This window comes from Homo sapiens, chromosome 3 (assembly GCF_000001405.40).
Source record: "Homo sapiens chromosome 3, GRCh38.p14 Primary Assembly".
NCBI classification, from domain to species: Eukaryota; Metazoa; Chordata; class Mammalia; order Primates; family Hominidae; genus Homo; species Homo sapiens.
The window spans coordinates 34,619,021-34,641,709 of record NC_000003.12 but is presented as its reverse complement, the minus strand read 5'-3'; the positions used below and the strand labels follow the sequence as shown (position 1 = coordinate 34,641,709).

Below are 22,689 nucleotides of genomic sequence, written 5' to 3'. Positions count from 1 at the left end.
CTAAAGGTCTTTTAAAAACACACCTCACCAAACTCAGCCACCAACTTAAAAAGGACTGGACAATACTTTTACCACTTTCCCTTCTCAGAATGCAGGCCTGTCCTCGGAATGCTACAGGGTACAGCCCATTTAAGGTCCTGTATGGACGCTCCTTTTTATTAGGCCCCAGTCTCATTACAGACACCAGACCAACTTAGACTGTGACTAAAAAAAAAAAAAAAAAAAAAAAAAATTGTCATCCCTACTATTTTCTGTCTAGTCATACTGCTATTCACCATTCTCAACTACTCATACATGCCCTACTCTTGTTTACACTGCCAGTTTACACTGTTTTTCCAAGCCATCACAGCTGATATCTCCTGATGCTATCCCCAAACTGCCACTCTTAACTCTTGAAGTAAATAAATAATCTTTGCTGGCAGGACTATGCCAAATCACCTTAAGCACTCTCTAATCAGACATCCTGAGTCGTCCCAATTCTTAGACCTTTTATACCTGTTTTTCTCCTTCTGTTATTCCATTTAGTTTTTCAATTCATACAAAACCGTATCCAGGCCATCATCAATCATTCTATACGACAAATGTTTCTTCTAACATCCCCACAATATCACCCCTTACCACAAGACCTCCCTTCAGCTTAATCTCTCCCACTCTAGGTTCCCACGCCGCCCCAATCCCGCTTGAAGCAGCCCTGAGAAACATCGCCCGTTCTCTCTCCATACCACCCCCCAAAAAATTTTCGCCGCCCCAACACTTCAACACTATTTTGTTTTATTTTTCTTATTAATATAAGAAGGCAGGAATGTCAGGCCTCTGAGCCCAAGCCAAGCCATCGCATCCCCTGTGACTTGCACGTATATGCCCACATGGCCTGAAGTAACTGAAGAATCACAAAAGAAGTGAATATGCCTTGCCCCACCTTAACTGATGACATTCCACCACAAAAGAAGTGTAAATGGCTGGTCCTTGCCTTAACTGATGACATTACCTTGTGAAAGTCCTTTTCCTGGCTCATCCTGGCTCCAAAAGCACCCCCACTGAGCACCTTGCGACCCCCACTCCTGCCCGCCAGAGAACAAACCCCCTTTGACTGTAATTTTCCTTTACCTACCCAAATCCTATAAAATGGCCCCACCCTTATCTCCCTTCGCTGACTCTCTTTTCGGACTCAGCCCGCCTGCACCCAGGTGAAATAAACAGCTTTATTGCTCACACAAAGCCTGTTTGGTGGTCTCTTCACATGGACGCGCATGAAAGAGAGGTGATGCAGTGAAGGTAAAGATGTCAGTAAAGGTTTTATAACTCAGCAAGTTACTACAGTGGTCAATGACAACTTCGTCCTGCTGTGCAACTCTGGGAGGCAGTGTAAAATACACATCTACCCCACCTGAAGGATAAAGAAGTTAGGTGTATTTATATACTCACTTTGGTCAGTTCTTGATTGAGGGTTATTTCTAAGAGGTATTAATTCCCTATAACTTCCAGACTGCCTCTTTTGCAGACTTAGCAGCCTCTTGTAGCAAAGAAAGATTTCAGGCAAATAAATGCACAGGCTGATAATTCGAAGTCCAGCTGGGATGTATACAAATGTAAGTGTCAGAGAGTATGGATGTGACACTGACAGCATCTGCTGAGATGTGTTTGAGGTTGAATTACAGATGGTGAGCAAAGGGAAAACTAGTAAAGATTAAGTCTAAGAGGAAAGAAGAGTTCAAATTCTAAGGAGCCATAGGCCATGATAAGTATGGATTTTATTTTAAGCACAATGATGAGCTTCTGGGCACTTTTAAAGAGGAAGGTGGCTTAATTGACATATTTATAAAAGATCACCTTGGTTGCTAGGTAGAAAACATGTAAGGAGGAGAATAGGAACAGGGAAATAAATTTGTAGGCTATCATAGCAATTATGGCAATACTGATGACACAAACTTGAGCGTGATAATATATTATATGGATCATTAATTCTTAATTCCCCACCCTCTCCACCTATACATACGGGAAACACACTCAGAAATGATGCTTAAAATCTAACCAATGTCTTCTAATAGGTGTTCTGCAATGTATCTTTAAATCTTCGCAACACCCATAATTCCAATCCTTTCTCTCCCACTCAAGAAAGCATATGGAGGTGTGTGAGTGAAAGTGATTCTATTATAGGAAACAACTAGAATCTGCTTTAATATTTTTTGCAAAGTATTTTGTCATCAGTCAATGATGACACACTTTACAATTGATTCAGATAAGCTAATGTTTCTTAACATTATGATTAATCATTGAGAGAAAAATGATGGACCATGTTCTCTCAGCATCTGATCAGGCAGTATATGATTTTTCAGATATAAGGATATCATCAAATACACATATTTCTAATAAGGCCACATAATCACAATCAACATGAATTCTTCTTCTACCTGACTTACAGAAAGATTCTGATGCATTAATCAGGGTTCCAGAGAATAAAAAAGACTTGCTGAGGAATAATTGACTTATCAAGAAATATTAAGAGAAATAAAAATGGTTACATTAGCCAAATGATGTCTGGAGTAAAAGAATGACAATATTACTCTACCAATATTTGAAGCACCTAAACACTTAGCAAAATATTATTTTTGACTTAAAAAGGTATTAGATACCAATTGAAATACAGCCAAGAATAATATTCCTTATATATATGGAACAAATATCTGTAAGTGTTGTCATGAAACATAGCACATTAGAGCAAAAGAAAACTTAGCGTTAAGCCCAACCAAACTTTTGTGTTTCATGAAGAGGATGTGAATTTCCAGAAAGAACAAGCAAGAGGCACAGGGATTCAATTACATAGAGGAGAGAATAGATATTTTTTAAATTATGTAAAATTAGATCAAGGTGGTTTTTTCCACTTTATTCCTGTTGAATTACTGATAACAATTTTCCAAATGTTGTATCTACCAGCATAAAAAGGTGCTTGTAATGACATTTCTTTGAAGAAATATCACAGATGAGCAATAAAGTATTCATGTTGGTATCTATAATTCCGAATCTCTATTGCAGAAAAATATGTATTGTTAACTTTTGCATTCAGAATCAGATAATTAGCACAAAAGTCACAAAAACCCTAAGCAAAACATTATATACACATTAGTAGCTTCCTACAATTTTGTAAAAAAGACAAGTGAATGAGAGGAGCAGGGAACTTCCAGTTACCAACCTAAATACCAAGAGAAATAATGTCTATGTTTTGCTTTGCATATAATTCTGCTGTTACTAAGGTAGGAGGCAGGACTTGACTCTGGAGGTGGGAACTTGAACTCAAGACTAGACGGAAGACTAGCTGAAACAGGGAAGAGGCGAAAGTACCTCTCCCTAAGACATGCTCACCAGTGCCATGTCAGTTTACCATTGCCATGGCAACACTCAGAAGTTACTGCCCCTTTCCATGGCAGTGACACAATGACCAAGAAGTTACCACCCTTTTTCTAGAAATTTCTACATAATCTGCTCCTTAATTTGCATGTAGTTAAAAGTGGGTATAAATATGACTATAGAACTGCTCCTGAGCTGCTACTCTGGGCACACTACCTATGAGTTAGCTCTGCTCCACAAGGAGAACTTCCTCGGTTGCTGCTATACATTGCTGCTTCAATAAAAATTCCTAACACTACCAGCTTGCCCTTGAATTCTTTCCCGGATGAAGCAAAGAACCCTCCCACGCTAAGCCCAGTATGGGGGCTTGCCTGCCCTGCATCATTACCAGATAAAATTTTGATTGCAAGTACTCTATTAGCACTAGATTTTTTTTGGTATTTTTATCTCATAACTCTGAAAATGAGCCTCAACAACCTCTTTCTCTAATGTTGTTCCCTATTTATACATCTGGTGGAGTACTACACTGTCCCAGGTCCTCTGCTAAATACTGATAATTTTTTTAAAGTGTGTGAGACCAAGTACCAGGTATATCCAGTACTCTCCAAAATGGTTTTAACATTACCTCTATCTACAAAATAAACTTTCCATGAAATAAGCCCATACACCCAATTCATGTTTATTATACCAACATTTGCTAGTATATTAACATAACATATGCATTATTAAAGAAGATAACAATAGAAATTTTAGACATTAGATAAAAATAAGTACCAATAGAAATTTAATATTATCTTACTACATCCCTCTAAAGAATATTACAATCCCCTAAGGAATAAGCCTTTCCTTCTGGTACCAGCTATTAGAAGTTAGATGAACTGACTTTTCACCTAGCTTGCAAGTCTCTTAGGTGATGAGGCCTCATTCTATCTTGATCTACTCTGCATCTCCTAGAAATATCTAGCACAGATGCTTGCACCTCATGAGCACTCAGTTTAATTAATAGGATATTTTTAAGTACATGCTTACTTCCACTGATAGACAAGAGAGTGGACTGCAGAGAAAAGGCTTTAAACTCTTCAAGGGTTAGGTCATGCCTGGCTTCTTAGACAAAAGACATAGAAGTAGATGTGTGAGGCCAGGTGACCGAATGATTTCCTTTTCAGAACTCTGCAGATATGTATTGACTTTCTATGATTAAAATTTGCCTTAGCCAGAAAAGTTTCAACCAAACTTAATTTTTAATTTGCATTACCTCCAAAATCCAGGGAATTATGTTTTAGAAAACACCATTAGTTAGCCCCATAGATAAAGACAGCTGTTTAATATGCTATATTCTTTTTACTCTCTTGCTCTCTCAAAAGCAGGGAAGGGGTAATAAAGACACTTCAATTTAACAATAATTTATAAGGTCTTTCTTCACCAGGAAATAATTTTGTAGCTTATAGATTATTTTTAGCCATATAAATAATTTCTCTTTTTATTAAGGCAGACATTTATTTTAGTCATCTGTGACAAACTATGGGATGTCTACTTCATCAGCCCATAAAAACAGGCTTCTTTGTTCAGTCCTACAGGCAACAAAGCTGGACAGATCTCTTTCAAGGAGTTAAAAGCCCAAATCTAACATGCATTGTTCCTGCACTGGTAATTCATCCACGTACATGCCAATGCATACATTTTGAGCACTTACGATGTGTCAAACCTTGGGCTACTTTCCAGTTAACTATTAACTTTTGATAATAAGGATACATACAGCCTAGCTCTAATAGAAACAATTCACTTAAAGAGGAAAAAATCATATAGTAAGTTAGACCTCTAATATAACTTTCTTTCTGTAAGTGCCAGATATATTTCATTTTTGTCTTTGATCATAGAGGAAATCTTGCAGGAATTGCACACTCTTCAGCTAGTGCCCTCTTGGCCAAGAACACATTTAAAAACTGGAGAAACAGAATGGAGTAAATTTGAGAAGATTATCAAGTAGAGCCTCAATTTTTTTATATCTTAGACAATCTTGTTCTTTCATCTGTGAATGGAGCTCCTGGGAGGATTTTCTCTCCAGGATCAGTTGGCAGAAGACAGTTCCCTCTATGCAATTAGCTTTTCTCCTCTTTTCATTTATTTCATATCTCAACAATTCTTTCTTATTTTGAGGAGTCATTTTTTTCTAAAACTTATTAGAAAATTATAGGAGCAAACAGTATATTTAAACTCTAACTTATTCATTAAACAAATATTGAGTGCATAATGTTTATGACCTAACCATATGCTGCTGTCCTAAATATGTACATTCTTATATGGAGGGTATGTACATCACTGCAATTCATGGAAGAAGAATGATGTATATTATTTATATATTTTAGAAATACACATTAGGTTTTTCTTACGTTATAAAGCAGAAAACACTCAAAGCAAAAGTCAAAAATGTAAAAGAATCTACAAAAAACAAAACAAAACAACTTCTTGGAACTAAGAAATTAGAGCAAAGTTGCAGCATATAAGGTCTATTAGTTTGCTAGTACTTCCATAACAAAATACCACAGATTGTGCTTCTTAAACAACAGGGACGTGCTGGGAAAGGAAGGGTGTAGTCTCTGGCTAGGGCTCCACCCCCCGCAGCCTGTCCCCATGGACCTAGGTGATGACAGGCATTTCTGTTTTCCTGCCCAAATGTTGTCTTTCCCAAGACCATCCTGGCCCACCACACCCCCATCCTGTGCCTATAAAAACCCTGAGACCCTAGCAGGCAGGCACACAAGCAGCTGGACGTGGAGAGGAACTCACCGGTGCAGGAGCAGACCAACAGACAGCGGCAGGCCGGCAGGCCATCAACCGGCGGATTGATGCGGAGTTTGGCCAGGGCAGTCGAAGGAGAGCCCAGGCCACTAAGTGGTCCGACTTCAGAAAGGAAAACTACCTTCCCATTCCATCTCCCTTCTGGCTCCTCCATCTGCTGAGAGTTACTTCTAATCAATAAAACCTTGCACTCATTCTCCAAGCCCATGTGTGATCCAATTCTTCCAGTACACCAAGGCAAGAAACCCCAGGATACAGAAAGCCCTCTGTCATTGTGATAAGGCAAAGGGTCTAATTGAGCTGACTAACACAAGCTGCCTACGGATGGAAAAACTAAAAGAGCACACTGTAACACATGCCCACTGGGGCTTCAGGAACTGTAAACATATACCCCCAGATGCTGCCGTCGAGTCGGAGCTCCACAACCTGCCTATCTGCCTGCTCCCCCTGGGGATTTGAGTAGCGAGGCACTGAAGAAGTGAGCCACACCCCCACTGCACAGCCTGCTAGGGAGACAAGGGAACTTTCCCTGTTTCAGCCGGAATTTATTTTCTCACAGTCCTGGGGGCTAGAAGTCTAAAATGAAGTGTCATTAGGATTGCCTCTCTCCTTGGCTTGCATAGAGATGCCTTCTCATCATGTTCTCACATGGTCTTTCCCCTGTGCACACACATTTCTGGTGTCTCTCAATGTTTCCAAATCTCCTTAGGCCAGGCACAGTGGCTAACACCTGTAATCACAGCACTTTGGGAGGCTGATGCGGACTGATCACTTGAGGCCAGGAGTTCGAAACCAGCCTGGCCACTATGGCGAAACCCTGTCTCTACTAAAAATACAAAAATTAGCTGGGCATAGTGGTGCATACCTATGATCCCAGCTACTCGGGAGGCTGAGGCAGGAGAATCACTTGAACCTGGGAGGGGGATGATGCAGTGAGTGGAGATCGCACCACGCCACTCCATCCTGGATGACAGAGTGAGACTGTTAAAAAAAAAAAAAAAAAAAAAAAAAAAAACTCCTCTCATGAGGACACTGGTCAGATTGGATTATAGCCCACCCTAATAGCCTCATTTTAACTTAATTATCCATTTAAGAGCCCTATATCCAAATATAATCACATTCTAAGGTGCTAGGAGTTAAGGTTTCAAAATACAAATTTTGGGGGGTGAGGAGCACAATTCATCCCATAACACAAGGTTAATATACAAATCTCAGTTGTTTTCCTAGAGAACAGCAATGAATAATTGGAACTTGAAATTAAAAACATAATACCATTTACATCACACCCCCCAAAACAGAATATATAGATGTAAATCTAACAAAATAAGTGTAAGATCTATATGGGGGCAATTCCAAAACTCTGATAGAAATCAAAGAAAAACTAAATCATGGAGAAATACTCTATGCTTACGGATAGGAAGACTCAGTATTCTCAAGATGTCAGTCTTTTCCCACCAGATCTATACATTCTACATAATATCAATTTTTAAAACCCATCATGTTACTTTGTAGATACTGACAAACTATTGTTGACCCTTGAGCAACAAAGCGGTTAGGGCACCACCCACCCACATACCTGAAAATCCATGTATAATTTTTGATTCTCCCAACATTCATTCATTCATTTACTTATTTATTTAGACAGAGTCTCGCTCTGTCCCCCAGGCTAGAATGCAGTGGTACTATCTTGGCTCACTGCAACCTCTATCTCCGTTCAAGCAACTCTCGTGCCTCAGCTTCCTGAGATGCTGGGGCTACAGGCACATGCCACCATGCCTGGCTGATTTTTGTATTTTTAGTAGACTGGGTTTCACCATGTTGGCCAGGCTGGTCTCGAACTCCTGGTCTCAAATGATCCATCTGCCTCAGCCTCCCAAAGTGCTGGGATTATAGGCGTGAGCCACCACGCCCAGCCTGATTCTCCCAAAATTTAACTACTAGTAGCCTACTATTGACCACAGAAACCTTACCAATAACATAAATAGTGAATTAACACATATTTTGTATCTTATTATATGCTGTATTTTTACAATAAAGTAAGCTAAAGAAAAGAAAATGTTATTAAGAAACTCATAAGGAAGAGAAAATATATTTTCTATTTATTAAGTGGAAGTGAATCATCATAAAGGTCTTCATCCTCATCATCTTCATATTTAATAGGATGAGGAAGAGGAGTAGGAGATGGTCCTGCTGTCTCATGGGTAGCAGAAGCAAAAGAAAATATGCATAGAAGTGGACCTACATGGTTCAAACTCATGTTGTTTAAGGGTCAACTGTAATTCTAAAGTTTAGATGGAGAGGCAAAAGATCCAGAATAGCTGTTGTGAACTGAAGTGTCCTCCCCTAAAATTCATATATTGGAGTCATAATCTCCAATAGCTCAGATTGTGACTATACCTGTACATAGAGCCATTAAAGAGGTAGACAAGTTAAAATGAGATCTTAGAGTAGGTCCAAATCCAGTCTGACTAGTGTCATTATAAGTAGAGGAGATTAGGACATACTAGAGATACCAGGGATGTCTTTGTACAGACAAAAGTCCATGTGAAGAGGCAATAAGAAGGTGGTCATCGACAAGCTTAAGAGAGGCCTCAGAGGAAACCAACCCTGCCAGCACCTTGATTTTGGACTTCCAGCCTCCAAGAACTGTAAGAGAATAATTTTCTTTTGTTTAAGCCACCTAGTCTATGGTACTTTGTTATGGCAACCCCAGAAAATCAGTACAATAGCCAACATGATACTGAAGAAAAAAATCAAAGGACTGACATTACCTAATCTCAAGACAGAGTGTAAAACTATAGTAATTAAGACAGGGTGGTATTAGAGAAAAAAATAGAAACATAGATAAATGAAACAAAATGGAGGGCTCAAAAATAGACACAGACAGACTCAACTGATCTTTGACAAAAGAGTAAAAGTAATTCAATAGAAAAAAAATACAGTCTTTCTAACAAATAGAACTGGAACAACTGGATATCCACAGGCAAAATGAGTGAATCTAGATACAGACCTTACACCCTTCACAAAAATTAACTCAAAATAAATCATAGACCTAAATGTAAAATCCAAAACTATAAAAATTCTAGAATATACTATAGGGGAAATTCTAGATGACCTTAGTAATGACTTCTCAGAAACAGCACCAAAGATATATGTTCCATGAAACAAAAAGTTGACAAATTTAACTTCATTAAAATTAAAAACCTTTGCTCTGTTAAAGACACTGCCAAGAGAATGAGAAAACAAGCCACAGACTGGGAAAAAATATTTAAAAAAAAAACATAAGATAAATGACTATCTAAAATAAACAAGAATTTATCTAAATTATATCTGAAATAAACAAGAATTCTTAAACTCAACAATAACAAAATTAACAATCTGATTTTAAAATGGGATAAAGATCTGAAGACACCTCACCAAAAAAATGTGTTGATGACAAACATATGAAAAGATGCTCAACATTTTACATCATTAGGGAATTGTAAATGTAAAGAACAAGTTACTACTATATACCTATTAGAATGGTTAAAACTGAAAAAACAAACAATACCAAATGCTAGCAAGGAGATAGAGCAACAAAAACTGTTCTTCAATCCTGGTAAGAATACAAAATGGTACAGCCAACATTGGATACAGTTTGGCAATTTCTTATACAACTAAAAATATACTTACTATATGGTTGAGCAATTTGCACGTCTTAGTATTTACCCAAACAATTTAGAAATTTATGTTCAGACAAAAACCTGCACACAGGTATTTATAGCAAATTTACTCATAATTGCCAAAATTTGGAAGCAACCAAGTTGTTCTTTAATAGATGGATATATACATAAACTATGGGAATTCCATACAATGAAATATTATTCAGTGCAAAAAGAAAAGAGATGTTGACAACAAAAGACATGAAGGAATCTTAAATGCATATTGCTAAGTGAAAGAAGGCAGTCTTCAAAGCTTTATATATTATTATTCCAACTATATGACATTCTGGAAAATGCAAAACAATGAAAAAAAAAAATCAATGATTGCCAGGGAATAAGGGGAAGGCAGAGATGAACAGCCAGAGCACAGAGGATTTTTCAGAGTAGTGAAACTACTCTGTATGATATCACAATGGTGGACACATGTCATTATACTTTGTTCAAACCCACAGAACATACACACCAAGAGTACATCCTAGTGTAAACTATGAACTTTGAGTGATAATGATGTTTCAATGTAGGTTTATTGATTGTGACAAATGTAACGTTCTGGTACAGGAGGATGATGGTGAGAAGGCTCGTCATGTTTTGGGGCAGTGGGTATGTGGAACATTTCTGTTCTACCCACTTAATTTCACCATTAACCCAAAATTGCTCTAAAAAATAAAGTTTGTATTTAAAAAATAGTTTCTCATTATCCAATCCCCAATAACATTAGAAACATAACAAAAAAGTACCAAAATATTCTTAACTCTTAGTTAAAATATGCAAGTAATATAATATGCACACATGTGCAAACACACACACACAGTTTACCTATGCAAAAAAGATCACCAGATCACCCAGTGTAACTATACCTTGCTTTTACAGTTTTATAATATATTTTGAAGATCTACTGATAACAGTAAATACCAATGTAGCACACTTTTTAAACTGTGTAGAATTTTGTTGCTTGACTATACAGTGTTATATTTTATTTAATGCATCATAACTTATATAGTTTTTTTTAACTGTTAGAAAGCTATCTTCCATATTATTGTGTAGTTTTAAAAAAGTGTCCCTAGGTCAACCCCTGGTAATGAAATTGTTGGGTGAAATGGTGTGCACATTTAAAATTGTGTTGGATATTGATAAATTACTTCCAAAGTGGAATCAGTTTGGACTTCAATCAAAGGAGAATGTCCATATTCCAAGACCTTCTTAAAATTGGTATTATTTATGGTATTCACTTTTGCCAATTAAATAGACATAAATACTATCTCATTTTATTTCTATTCACTTAAATATAAGTGAAAACTAGAATTTTTATGTTTATTTATATTTTGTCTCATTTTCTGTAAAATAATTGCCCATTTTATGGGTGCAATATTTATTTATTAATAATTTTTCAAAACCAGTGTATATATTGCAAGAATTTTGTGAAGTTTTATTTTTATTTTTCATACTACCATGCTGTGGCCATCCTCTAGTTTTTCATTTTTAATTAACTACTTCATTAATATTTCATATAAATTAAATGACTCATTTGTCATTGCTTTGTTGTAATATTGCTAAGGTTTTATTTTTTGTATTTACATGATTAGCAGATCTCGAATTCATTTTGAAACTGAAGTAATCATAGCCATCCAAGTTTATTTTTTTCCACAAATGTCAATTCAACTTTCACAACACTATTTTTCATTTAACCCGTCTTTCCTACTGATGCAATTCCATATTTATTATAGATAACACTTCCATATATTTCTGGATGAATATTTTCTAGAATCTAAACTTTATTCCACTGACCCTATTTTTTCTTTTTTTCAGAATTGTAGCAATTATATAAATATATTTCTCAGAAAATATTTTGTAAAGTTTTCCCTAAAACATCTCATTGGTATTCTATTTTAGATGGCATAGGCTTCATAAATTAATTTTGCAAGATAACATCTTTATGATATTGAGGCTTTCTAAGAATAAGTTATGTCTATTTTCCAAGTCTTCTTTTATATCTCTCAAAAGAGTTTTAAAGTTTCCTTCACATAAACCCTGAATATTTCTTCTTACGAGCTTTTTAAGTCTTTTCTTTCCTGGTATTATAAATGGGATATTTTCTTTATTAAATTTTCTGTTTATAGTTGACATATAGAAAAACCAATGATTTTAATATAAATTTTGCAAACAGGGAATTTTCTGAACTCTGTTTTTTATTTCTAATAGTTTTCAGACAATTCTCCTGAATTTTAATAGTACACAATCATATCGTCTGCAAATAAAAATAATTTTATGTGTTTCATTCTCACTTTCATAGTTCTTTTTTTCTCATATAACTATACTAGCTAAGACATTCAAAACAATAATACTGATGATAATCAACCTCTTTGACATCCTCTGGACCGAACCTACTTTTTACTTTAGTATATAGACAAGATTTATCAGAATTTGTCCACCCATCTACTTTTCTTTTTGCATTCTTTATGGGGTGGAAATATTATTAGGAGCATTGACAAACCATGCAAAGTCTTGGATATTATTGTACTCCTCTTTCTCTGGCTTACACATTTTAAAGACTGCTGTGTAAAACAGTACCATTCTATGTGTTTGATGGTGGCCAGTGCAGCAATAGGACATCTATTTTTGTTCATACTATGGTATATAGATGGAGGTTGTGATCTAACTTCTCTCTCTCTTATCTTACCACACATGGGCCATCCTGCAATTGACTGTGTGTCTATAAGGTGCCAGACATTTCTCTGTGGAATTTACATTCAGTAGCATATTTAACTCTCACACCAAGCCAAAGAAATAGTTGTTATTATCCCTACTCTACTGATGAACAACTTGTTTTAAGTTACATGGTTAATTAGTGGCAGAGACAGTACTTGAAACCTCATCTCTCTGTCTCTAAAGCCCACAGTCTGCTGTATTTCTAAATCTCAGGAAGGCTAAAATAAGAAGTATACAAAATTTTGGTTGGATGTAGAAGAAGGAGCAATCAATTTGGCTCAGGGAGGATCAAAAAGTGTTGATTATACTCTTAAGGATCTGCACTGAAAAGAATGAACAAAAAATTGATCTCCCACTATGATTCAGGAAGTACCCTCCACACCCCACAAGAGAAATAAGCACATCACAACCTTACAATAGTCCTCGATTGATTTTCCTCTGGGGGTTAGACAGTTCCTCAAGTTACAGCTTGGTCAATTATTACCAAGTCCAGGCTACTTTCCTTAAGAGTGAGCACATGCTCATAAGGTTCTTCAGGGAGGAAAAAAATTTGTTCTTATCTGAGGAAACTTAATTCAAGTTTTAAACTCATTTCTTCTTTCAAGCAGTTTCTACTGTAAACTCAATTATGTGGTGGGATTTATTGAAGCACAGAACAGAAAAGACATTTGCTCAGAAGTAACTCTGGGATATGATGTGGATTAGACCTGGAAAAAATAATAAATCATAAAGCTACTGAGTCCTGAAAACACTGAGCCATACTTGAAAGTAGTCTAAGACTTGAACAGGGTGAGTTACTGTTAAATGAACATGAATATGTCAAGAATGATATCTGAATTACTTCCCATTTCAAAAGTTTCATTTGCCTCCAATTTTTCTCTTAACTCTTTTTAACACTATTAAAAAATATTAGAATTTCCTTTCACTCCCTTTCATAGAAGAATAAATAAAAGAATAATTGAATTTCCAGGGGTTACTCAGGAAATAACTAAAGATCTATAATTAGAATCTATAATTCCTGATCAAAAAATCCTTTAATTCCTTGGGTGATGCTTGCATTTTATTATGCCTTACTATTAATAAAAGGATGCTGTGAATCAGAGGTTCATCATAGATTATCTTTTTTTATTCTCTCTATATCATCCAGCCCTCTGGAGCTTCTGTCCAACTAAGTTCTGTTGCTTTCACAAAAAGGCCAAGTCAAAAAGCCCTAGGGCAAAGATAGGCAGCTGGAGAACCTTACCATAATGCTCACAAAAGATTACATAATCAACTCTTCATTTCTGTCAAGAAAATTCAGTGGTTGTTTCTTTATCACTTCCTTAGTACTGGCATTATTATATTGTGGTTCAGAATACTTGAAGAAAAGTCTGGCATACGACCTTCTCTCACAGAATGTGTAAGCTAATGTATAATCAGTTCTCTCTGAGATGCCCGGCTGCCAATGATTCTGTCTTGGTGGAATAAAATCCTGAACATAATCAGAACTACCACTTTTCCATTCTAGTGGAAGATTTACAATTTGGAAACTCTGGCTAAACACCTTTCTATCCACTAGGTTCTAGAGACTGTGCAAAACCAATCCTAGGAAATTTATTTCTGGGCAAGTCAAAGGTGAGTTTCCCAGTATACACTTAGCTTTACCATCTCTCATCAGGACTAAGCTCCAAGCCTGCCAAAGGTCTAAATTCCTACAAGTACCAGACTAATTTCTTGCTGTTTTCTTTCCATTTTTACTTATTCATATCTTCTCATTCCCTCAAGTATTTTATTATATTTTACCAAATGTGTTCTTTCAAAGAGCCTCAAATCCTATTATAAAAATGTGTGATAAGAACAAAAAGATACATAGAAAATTAGATCAAGATATTAGTCTGAGAACAAATGCTTAGATCTTTTGCTTCCCTAGAGAAGACATAAAAAATGTAATAGACCAAACAAAATTATAATACTAGCAACAAACAAAAAAGATTATCTTCAGTGAATCAAATTGGTTAAAGAATCTATGAGAGTAAAATGCAGAAACAATCAGCTTGACAAGGAAGACCACAGATTAAAGGACATAAAGAGAAAGAGACAGCTTCCAAGGGCAGAAACACTATTAGAAATTCTCCAAATCAAAGGTAAAGGATGCAATAAGCATATATAGAGAGAAATATATGTATATAAATATATATCTATTTCAAATATATATGCATATAATATATAAATTTACTTCCACCAAAATTCATCATAATTCTCAATAAATATATATTGATTTAATGTAAATTAATTAATTTAAATGTAATTAATTTAAATGAATATATATTGAGAATTATCATGATGAATTTTGGTGGAACTAAGTTTACACCAGTTTTTCTTTCATACTTTGGTGACACAAACTTTAGGGCAGAGATGTGGATACTTGTATGAAAGAGGACAAGAAGTGTCAAGGTGAGTGGTGACACCCAGAAGGAACAAGATCATGCTCCCTCCAAACACAAGCCACTGGTGAATGACCCAGATAAGCTTGTTCCATGCCATTCTCTAATTAGTGGAAGCAGGCTACAGCATGCAAGAAAAGTGAAATCTCAGAAAGAATGTTGAAACAAAGTCAAAAGCAGTTGAAAAAAAATCAAAATAAAAAGACATTTGCAAAAATTTAGAGTACAACGTAATGGAATCAAAAATGTAAATAAATTTTTATTTATTCAAGTATTTTAATAAATATTTTATTGTTTAAATAATATTTAAAAAGATAATACATAAAAATTAGATTTGCTCTAGAAAATATTTTTAGGAAAGACCTTGTTAAGCAAGGCATACAACTCAAAAGCCATAAAGGAAAATATTATTGAGCTTAACTATATAAAAATTATAAAAATTTTTTAGTGTGGGCATCATAAACAGTATTAAAATAAAATGGAAGGGAGAAGAAAATAATTACAACATATATAACAAAGAATTCATATGAAGACTATCTAAAGAAATTCTGCAAACCAGTAAGAAACAAAAAACCTAAATTCTCAGCAAAGTGCCTAAGAAACTTATGAAGAGGGATACAACCTAACAAATTATCAGAGAAATAACAATAGAAACAATGAGATACTATTTTTTGCCTCTGTAGATGAGAAGTAATTACAAAAATACACGGGAAAACTCTACTGCTCCCATGGTATATGAGCAAAATATCAGAGTAAGCAACTTTAAGCTTCTTCCTTTCCACAGAAACATTGAGAACCAAGCAGAAACTGTCAGAACTAACTTTGCTAGAACTACAGAAAACAGTTAAAGATTTGTAGCAACTCAGTAAGTACTAAATCAAGTAAAGGCAACTATTAAATGGTAGAAAAGCTTTGTGGCATTTAACTTACTTCATTCTCTCCCAAGCTCAGCAGCAGTCTTGAAGATTGCAGGCCAAATTCCTAGTGTGGAACCTAGTCTGTGTTTCCAGGGAAAGCAGAAAATACCTTATTCACAGATTATTCAATATGTCTGTCCTAACTTGCCTGGGGGATACCTGAAGGATTGACCAAAGGTGTCATCTCTGTTTTGCCTAACATGGGAACTTATTCAGGAAGGAAAGTTGGTGAACAATATTTGAAAACATTGTAAGGCTAATGAAAAACCAACAGTGGCCTGTGACAAAAGATACAATTGAGACATTCAATAAACTATCAAAAGCATGGGAAGAAAAGCTAGGGAGAGTTTATTTGGAAAGTTAGGGCATTCAAAAGCACCCAGGTACACTAGAGAATTTAGAAAGCCACGAACATGTCCAGGGCAAGACCTCATAATTAAAAAAAAGTACTGAAAAGAGGCTAAGCTTTCATATCTATCATATATTTAGGCTCAGTGCAGTACCAGCTGAGTGTTGAAGGAGTGTTCCAATACAAAGCCGATATGCAAAGACTGGGAGAGATGTTTTTGCTCGTATGGCTCATCATGTTAAATATATATATATATATATATATATCTGTCAAAGCACTTTCTAAACACAAGCTAAAATAAAAGAGGCATAAGGGACCCCCAAACGACAAAAAAAAAAAAAACAGACTTTGCACAAATGCTGCGGTTTGGGAAAGCCAATCAACAAATGGATGACCACAACTATCAACAATCCAAAAAAAGCAAACTCTAGAGGAGAGGGAGCTGATTTACACAATATGATATTTACAATACAATATTACCACAATATGATACTCAAATGCCCAATTGTAAACAAACAAAAAAAAACACAAAGTATACAAAGAAACAGGAAGCATGACCCATTCAAGGGAACAAAATAAATTGACAGAGACTGCCCTTGAGGAAACCTAGACATTGGAATTAGTACACGAAGATTTTGTCAAATATCAATATATTCAAAGAACTAAATTGGAGATAGAGATGGACAAAAGCCAAAGGAAATAAGAAAAAAAGATATGTGAACAAAATTAGAATGCTAAAAAGAAGATTGAATATCTCTCTCTATATATATATATCTACTGATATATCTATATCTACTGATATAGATATATATGATATATATATGATATATATGATATAGATATAGTATATATAGATATACTGCTATATCTATATCTGTATCTATATGTACTGATATAGATATAGATATGCTGGAACTGAAGAGTTCCAAGAGTACCATAACTAAAATAAGAGAGGTTAAGCAGGTAGATTTGAAGAGTCAAAAGAAAGAATCATGAATTTGAAGACAGCAAAGTTGACATCATCCAATCTGAAGAGCAAAAAGAATAAATAAAGTAAAAAGCCTATGGAACCTATAGAACACTATCAAGTACACTAACATGTGCATAATGGGAAACCCAGAAACAAAGAGAGAGAAATGTGCATAAACAATATTTGAAGGAATGGCTACAAACTTCCCAAACCTGATGAAAGGTTTAAATCTATAAATTCAAGAAACTTAGTCCCTCCACTCTGATAAACCTAAAAGGATCCATCCTGAGATGTACTCTAATCAAAAACAAAAACTACAAGAAATTCTTGAAAGCAGCAACAGAGCAGTAACATGATCACATATGACAGACTTCATAAAATTAAAAGCCAATTTCTCAACAGAAACCATGGCAGGAGAGACAGTGGGATGGCATATTTAAGGTGCTAAAAGAAAGAAAAAACCTGTCAACCAATAATTTTATATCTAACAAAACTGTGCTTCATATGGAGAGAAATGAAGACATTCCCAGAATAACAAGAGCTGAGGAAGAAATGGCAAATGAGTAACTCTAAGAATGTAATTTGATTCTTTATGAATAAATAAAGAATTTCAATAAAAGCAACTAAATGGGCAAATATAAAAACTAGTATTCTTATATTTTTGGTTTGCAATTCAAATTTATTATTTTCTAAATAATTTAAAAGTCAAATGTATAATAATAATAAATATATATTATTAGGTATACAATCTATAAGATGTAATTTTTGACAACTACAACACAACAAGGGGGAGAACAAATATGTATAGGAGCAGAGTTTTTGTCTGCTATTGAAGTTATGTTGGTATTAATTCAAACTATATCCTATAAACATAGGATATTAAAGACAGCCCCCATGGTTACTACAAAAGTAAATGTGTATTTTAAAATAGACACAAAAAGAACAGAGAATGATTCAAAATACTTTACTACAATCAACTAAACACAAAGAAAATGACAATAGAGGATATGAAGGACAACAAAGGTAAAAACCATAGAGAAAATAAATGGCATAATGGCAGTTTTTCCTTACCAGTAATTAATTTAAATGTAAGTGGATTAAGCACTCTAATCAAAAGGCAAAGATTTGTAGAGTGGAATTTTAAAAAGGATCCAACTATATGAGATCTATAAGACATTCACTTTAGATCCAAAGACGCAAATAGGTTGGAAGTGAAAGGATTGAAAATATGTTTATGCAAATTATAATCAAAAGAGAGCTAGAGTAGCTATACTAAATTCAGAAAAATAGACATAAGCAAAACTTCTACAAGAAAGAACTACACTACATGTTGGTAAAAGGGTCAATTTTTCAAGAAGATATAACAATTGTAAATATATATGCATCAAATAACAAAGCCCCAAAACACATGAAGCAAATGTTGACAAAACCAGAGGAAGAGATAGGCTTTTCTAAAATAATATTTAGAGACTTTATATACCCACTTTAAAAAATAGACAGAAGATCTAGATGGGTCAATATAGATCAAAAATACTACACTATACTATACTATTAATATATATCACCAGACCTAAAAGACATATATAAAACATTCTTCTCACCAGTAGAAGAATACACATAAGTGCATATGGAACATTCTCCAGGATAGTCTGTATGTTAATCCACAAGTCTCAATAAATTTTAAAACGTTGAAATTATACAGATCATCTTTTACAAATACAATGAACTAAAGTTAAAATTATTAACAGAAGGAAAACTGGAAAATCCACAAATATCTGGAAATTAGATAACATAGCCTTAAATACCCAATGAGTTAAAGAAATTCAAGAGAAATTAGGAAAAAATTGAGGTAAATAAAAATGAAGCACAACAGAACAAAACTTGTAACATGTATAGAAAGCAATGCTTAAAGAAAAATGTATAGCTATAAGTGCTCACATTAAAAATCATCTCAATAGTTTGACTTTACAACTTAACAATTTTGAAAAAATTTTCCTGTAAGCCAAAGCTAGCAAGGAAAAAAATAATAATAAGGTAACAGTGGAAATAAATGAAATAGGTAATAGAAAAACAATAGAGAAAATCAATAATAGCAAACTCTGGTTCTTTGAAAAAAAAATCAACAATTTGACAAACCCCTAGCTGGATTGAAAATAAAAAGAGAGGTAGTTTATGCAAACAAATAAAATAAGAATGTAAGTGGGGACATTTTACTGACTTTACAGAAATTTTTAAAAATCATGAGGAAAAAAGATGAACAATTATATACCAACAAATTAGATAAACTAGATGAAATGAGAATGGTCCTAGAAATGTACAAATTAATTTAAATGACTAAAAAAGAAATTGAAAATATCGGCAGACCTGTAACAAATAAGTAGATTTAATCAATAATAATAAAATAACCCTCTGAACAAAAACAGTCAAGGACCCAAAGTCTTCACTAGTAAATTCTAGCAAACATTTTAAAAAGCATTAAGACCAATTCTTTTCAAACTATTTAAAAAAATGAAAAAAGAGAAAATGCTTAACTCATTGTATGAGGTCAGCATTACCAGAATATCAAAGCCAGATAAAGACATCACAAAAAAGGAAAATTACAGATAAACATTCTTTATGAATATATATGCAAAAATTCTCAATAACATACCAGAAAAAAAAATTAAACTGCATATTGAAAGAATATGAACAAGTAGAATTTTCCCCAGGAATGAAAAGTTTGTTCAACATGAGACAATCAATCAATCCAACGCACCACAAAAATAGAACAAAGCAGAAGAAAAATCATAATCACTTCAATCGATGCAGAAAAAGGCATTCGGCAAAATTCAACACGCTTTCATGATCAAAACTTTCAGAAAATTAAGAATATAAGGGGTTAGCCTTAACATATGAAAGGACATTTCCATTTACAATAGCATCCAAAAGAATAAAATTCCTAGGAATAAATGTAACCAAGGACGTGAAAGATCTGTACACTAAAAACTGCAAAACATTGCTGAAAGAAATTAAAGATCTGAGCAAATGAAGAGACATTTTGTATTCACAAATTCAACAATCTAATACTGCTAATATGCCAATACTGCACAAAATGATCTACAGAGTTGATGAAGTCCTCAAATTTATTTGAAATTGCAAGGAGACCTGAATAACCAAAACAGTCTTTTAAAAAAGAACAAAGTTGGAAGATTCATACTCCCCAATTTCAAATTACTGCAAAGCTCTAGCAATCAAATCAGTGTTTTAGTGGCATAAGGAGAGATATACAGGCCAAAGGAAAAAAAATCAAGAGTCCATAAATAGACTCATACATCTATAGCCAATTGATTTTCAGCAAGAGTGCCAAGACCGTTCAATGGTAAAAGGAGAATCTCTTCCACAAATTGTGCTGGGACAGCAGAGTTAAAGAATAAAGTTGAATTTCTATCTCACACCATATATAACAATTAACTCAAAATGATTCAACAACCTAAATTTAAGTGTTAAAACTGTAAGCCCTTAAAAGAAAACATAGGGTTAAATCATCATAATCTTATATTAGTTTAAGATTCTTAAAATATGACACCAAAAGCTCAAGCATCAAAACAAAATATAGATAAATTGAAGGCTGCATCAAAGTTACTAACTTTTTTTCATAAAAGGACATTTTCAAGAAAGTGAAAAGACTGGCTTCTGGTTCCATAATGGCAAAATAGAAGCAAGTTGGTTTCACTACCCACCACAGAAAACCAAAAACTAACATACAGCACCAAAATCATCACTAGCAATATTAGACAATTCAAATATGAAGATGAGACACTTCCCAGGGCCACGGAGAAGTGAGAAAACTCCAGGTAGACAGTAAAAGAATGTAACCTGCATATCTGTGATGTCCCTCCCCCTATTCTGCCAAGCACCAAGCACCAGGAAAATTTTCGTCCAACTCACAATTTTTAAAAAGGACAAAACGTATTGAGGTGGACGGCCACCTCAAGACGGTGTTGTACCACCATCTTGAGTTTGCTGGCAGGAAATCTGCTCATGCCTTAATCCACAGGAAGCATCATGAGTCCCTTAAGCATCACTGAGGACAGGGAAGACAAAAAGAGAAGATGGGACTACCATCCCCAGTCCTAGAACTTCTGCTCTATAACTCAGTCAAAGGACATGCCCAGTCAGAGTGGCTGTTCAGCATCACCACGCTGTAGATTTATTCCATAAGTCCTCTGGACACAAGCCCCTTTCCAGTTTTCCCACATTGCTGGGTATCCCCTTCCTGAGCTTCCGCAATGAGGAAGGCCAGTGCTCCTATCCTTTACTAGAGCTGAAGTGAACCTGGGCTTAAGATGCCACCTAGAGCCAAAAAGGAGGCAATGATCTAGTGGCAAACAACATCTAAGCAAACATATTTAATAAAAAACAAAATCAGCCAGACAGAAGACTGGAATAAATAATTAATCCTTCAATGCAAAGACATAGATATATGTCCACAAGAAACAACAGCAAACAGGGAATCATAATCTCCCCAATTAACAAAGCAAAGAATCAGTGACTGACCCTAAAGAGACCGTGATATGTGGGCTCTCTGACCAAGAATTCAAAACTGCAGTTTTAAGAAAACAGTGATCTCCAAGATAACACAGAAAAATAATTCTGAAATTAATCACAGAAATTTAACAAAGAGATTGAAGTATTTTAAGAAGGCAAACAGAAATTTTGGAACTTAGAAAATACATTTGCTAGACTGAAAAATTCATTAAAGGATCTCAACAGCAAAGTGGATCAAGCAGAGGAAAGAATCAGTGATCTTGAAGACAGCCCATTTAAAAATACAGTGAGAGGAGAAAAAGAAAAATTGAAAAGCAACAAAGATCACCTACAAGATACAGAAAATTAGATCAAAATACCAAATATAAGAATTAGTGGTGTTCAAAAAGGAGTTGAGCAAGAGCACAAAGTGGAAAGCTTATTCAAATAAATAATAAGAGTACACTTCTCAAAATTCAATAAAGATTTAAATATCCAGGTACAGGAAGGGCAGAGAATACCAACAGATTAGACCCAAATGAGACCGCCCCAAGCCTAAATTAATCAAATTCTTAAAAGTCAACAACAAACAGAAGATACTAAAAGCAACAAGAGAAAAGAAGCAAATAACATATAAAGGAGCTCCAATTCATCTGGCAACAGAATTTTCAACAAAAAGCATATAGGCCAAGAGGGAGCAGAATGATATTCTTGACATTTTCGAAGTGCTGAAAGAAAAGAATTGCCATTCAAGAATACTGTATCCAGCACGCTTATCCTGCTAATATTAAAGTGATATAAAGTCTTTCCCAAACAAATAAAACTGAGGGTATTCACCATCACCAGATTTGTCTTACAGGAAGTGCTAAATGCTAAAGGAAATTCTTCGATCTTAAAGAAAAAAATAAATGAACTTTAAAAAATTGAAGGTATAAAACCCACTGGTAAAATTAAACATACGGACAAACTAAAA

General features: G+C 34.7%; 2 annotated features.

The window, feature by feature from the left end:
- Nucleotides 393–1,027: an enhancer, noted in NCBI's record as "OCT4-NANOG-H3K27ac hESC enhancer chr3:34682175-34682809 (GRCh37/hg19 assembly coordinates)". NCBI's record gives its function as "activates a minimal SCP1, AML or CMV promoter by ChIP-STARR-seq in primed H9 embryonic stem cells {active_cell/tissue: H9 hESC(primed)}" and the evidence as "EXISTENCE:reporter gene assay evidence [ECO:0000049][PMID:30033119]".
- Nucleotides 21,389–21,612: a silencer, noted in NCBI's record as "fragment chr3:34661590-34661813 (GRCh37/hg19 assembly coordinates)". NCBI's record gives its function as "represses an EF-1alpha promoter that drives an FKBP-Casp9 reporter gene in an ReSE screen in K562 erythroleukemia cells {active_cell/tissue: K562}" and the evidence as "EXISTENCE:reporter gene assay evidence [ECO:0000049][PMID:32094911]".